Here is a 4,038-nt window from a genome sequence, read left to right as displayed (position 1 = left end):
TTTATTATGTTTATTATGTGATATTCTGTAATTATGTATTTATGTAAAAATCATGTAATTTTTTCATTGATAATCTAATAAAAGGCTGGATGTACTTGTTTTCAAATTTTGAAGAATAAAGTCCTTTTAGAATGATTATTTGGCTGAAACACTACACATATTTAATCTAAAAAAACTGTGTCCCTTATTAATTTATTTTTGCAGCAATTGTACATAGACAAATGCAATAGCATATACTTCAATATGTTCAGTGTTTTTTACTAACACAAAGGTGAAAAAGCTGGCTGGTAAATTAATAGGAACTGGATACAATTCAGGAACAATTTTCAAAGAACTTGTGAAAAAGCAACTCTTCATTTGAAATGCTCAAGAATAACACTTTTAAAATAACCTGAGATAGAGCAGATATTAGCCAAGTCTTGCTTCCATTTTTTTTTTTTTTCATCCTCATAAGAATGTCCTTCTGCACTGCTTTTAGGAAGGGTCCTTGCCTTTGTTCGCAACATTTTTCTTAATTCAAAAGTGGATGTTGGGTCAATTGAGAAAAATGAACATTAGGTATTGCCAATAGCCCTGAGATTCATGCTGCATATTATGAATATGGTTGGGGATTGGATCAAATGCCAATATGATATTCAGTGAACTATGAATTACTACTGTGTAATCCAAGAAAAGTTGTTTGCAAATGGGAAAAGGATGAAGAAGAATCTCTCCATGGTTGCCCACACATGCCCACTCTCCCAGGTCAAGTCAGGATGGCAGACTGGGCCATTCATCATTAAATGGTCACCTTTTCCCTGGCCCTGCCTTCAAGAATTGGCCTCTATGCCCTGAAATGAGCTCTCTCTCTGGCTTCTAGGCTCTGTTTTGGTTTCCCTCCAGGGATGGAATCTACAACTTGTCTCTCTGTCTGGTATAGTTTCTTGCATCTCTTTTTGAACCTTCCTTATTCTATAGTCCCATCACCCCCAAAACAATAAATTTCTCCAAGGTGTTTCCCTTCAAGTATTGTCCATTCAAAGACTATGTGGCTCAGGAAAGCAAATACAACAAAGAGTAGAACATATTTTTGCAATTTCAGTCAACTCCTGTTTTTATGTCTTTCTGATATCTAACACTGCAAAAGCAACAGTAAAATAATATTAATGTTAATACCACAATCAAAATCAGAAAACTCATCAACCTTGTACCTTTGGTATTCTTAGAAACTGAACTCTTATAATGGCAAGAATTGGACCCTCTGATAAGTGATGCTGAGCCTTTTTTCATATACCTATTAGCCATTTGTATATCTTCTTTTTTTTTATTTGCTTCTTTTTTTATTATACTTTAAGTTTTAGGGTACATGTGCACAATGTGCAGGTTAGTTACATATGTATACGTGTGTCATGCTGGTGTGCTGTACCCATTAACTCGTCATTTAGCATTAGGTATATCTCCTAATGCTATCCCTCCCCCCTCCCCCCACCCCACAACAGTCCCCAGAGTGTAATCTTCTTTTAAGAAATATCTGTTTAAATTTTTGCCTATTTTTAAATCAGACTGTTTGGTTTTTTTGCAACTGAGTCGCTTGAGCTTCTTACATATTCTGGTTATTAATCCCTTGTTTGATGGGTAGTTTGCAAATATTTTCTCTCTTTCTGTGGGTTGTCTCTTCATTTTGTTGATTGTATCCTTTGCCGTGCAGAAGCTTTTTAGCTTGGTGTAATCCCAACTGCCTATTTTTCCTTTGATTGCCTGTGCTTTTGGGGCCTTATGCAAAAAAAACTCTTAAGAATTTCCTCAATTTTTTTTCATGTCTTTAATCCATTTCGATTTGATTTTTGTGTGTGGTGAGGGGTAGAGGTCAAGTTTCATTTTTATGCATATAATTATCCAGTTTTACCGGCACCATATATTAAAAAGACTATCCTTTCTCCATTGTATGTTCTTGGCACCTTTGCAGAAGATGAGTTGGTTGTAAATGTATGGATTTATATCTGGGTTCTCAATTCTGTTTCATTGGTCTATGAATCTCTTTTTATGCCAGTACCATGCTCTCTTAGTTACTATAGCTTTGTAGTAAATTTTTAAGTCAGGTAGTGTGATACCCTTGTTCTTTTTGTTCAGGATTATTTTGGTTCTTTGGGTCTTCTCCGGTTCCATATACGTTTTAGAATTATTTTTACTTTTTCTGTGAAGAATGTCATCGGTATTTTGATAGGGATGGAATTTAATCTATAAATTGCTTCAAGTAGTATTGCCATTTTGACAATATTAATTATTCCAATCCAGGAGAATGCAATATCTTTCCATTTTTTCAGTGTCCTCTCTTCTATTTCTTTCATCAGAGGTTTATAGTTTTCCCAATATATATCTTTTACTTCTTTGGTTACATTGATTCCTAGGTGTTTTATAATTTTTGTAGCTATTGTAAATGGGGTTGTTTTCTTGATTTCTTTTTCAAATGATTTGCTATTGGCATATATAAATGCTACTGAGTTTTGTGTGTTGATTTTGTATCCTGCAACTTTATTGGATTTGTTTATCAATTCTAACAGTTCTTCTGGTGGAGTCTTTAGGTTTTTCTAAGTATAAGATCATGTCTTCTGTAAACAACACTAATTTTACTTTTCCCTTTCCAATTTGGATGCCCTGTATTTCTCTCTTGCTTAGTTGTTCTGGCTAAGACTTTCATTATTATATTGAATAATAGCAGTGAAAGTGGGCATCCTTGTCTTGTTTGAGTCTGGCAATAACAGATGCTGGCTAGGATGTGGAGAAAGGGGAACCCTCATACACTGTTCATGGGAATGTAAATTAGTACAGCCACATTGGAGAACTATATGGAGGTTCCTCAACAAACTAAAAATAGCACTATTGTGCAATCCAGCAATTCCACTGTTGGATATACATTTAAAAGAAAGGAAATCAATATATCAAAGAGATAATTGCATTTTGATGCTTATTGCAGCGCTATTCAAAATAGCCAAAATATGGAGTCAACCTAAGTGCCCATCAACAGATAAATGGATACAGAAAATACTGTATATATACACGATGGAATATTATTGAACCATAAAAATGATGGAAATCCTATCATTTGCAGCAACTTGAATGGAATTAGAAGCCATTATGCTAAGTGAAATAAACCAAGCACAAAAAGTCAAATATCTCATGTTGTCACTCATATGTGGGAGCTAAAAACATGTATCTCATCAAGATAGAAAGTAGATTGGTGGTTACCAGAGGCCAAGAAAGAGAGAGGAGAGGGAAGAAGGAAGAAAAAAATATAAATGAATTTTTACCACTGAACAATATACCTAAAGATAGTAAGAGTGATGTTTTATGTATTTTACCTCAATAAAAAATGAATTTAGAAAAGAATTTGACCTTTTACAGGTTTTTATCCAGTGAAATGTGTGTGTGTGTGCCTGTGTGTAATTCTTTTGACTTCCAGTTAGGCTGTAAGATATATGAGCATAAAGGAAGCTGAGTTTTCTATTAATTTATTTTTCCCTTGAGTGATTATGATTCTAGGAGAGGTAACACATTTATCCACAGACTTCACTCTCTGTTACAAATCATTGTAAACAATCAAAGCAATTGGATTTTTTTCCAGTTGTTTTCTCTTGCAACATCGTTGCTATACTTTGCCTGTCATAGTAAAATAAGTGTAAACTGGCTTAACCACTAATTACTAGCTTCCAACTAGCAATCTTCATTTGTGTCAGACAAGATAGGCTAGATAATGCTATGATTTTAAAAAATATTTTTCAGTGGCAAAAAATAACAAAAGTTTATTTTTTGAGACAGAGTCTCGCTCTGTCACCCAGGCTGGAGTGCAGTGGCGCAATCTTGGCTCACTGCAACCTCCACCTCCAGGGTTCAAGCAATTCTCGTGCCTAAGCCTCCCTAGTAGCTGGGATTACAGGTGTGTGCCGCCACACTCAGCTAATTTTTATATTTTTGGTAGAGATGGGGTTTTACCATGTTGGCCAGGCTCATCTCGAACTCCCAACCTCAGGTGGTCTGCCCGCTGTGGCTTACCAAAGTGCT

Source organism: Homo sapiens, chromosome 5 (assembly GCF_000001405.40).
Source record: "Homo sapiens chromosome 5, GRCh38.p14 Primary Assembly".
Taxonomy (NCBI): Eukaryota; Metazoa; Chordata; class Mammalia; order Primates; family Hominidae; genus Homo; species Homo sapiens.
The sequence above is the reverse complement of the archived record's forward strand: the minus strand, read 5'-3'. Positions refer to the sequence as shown.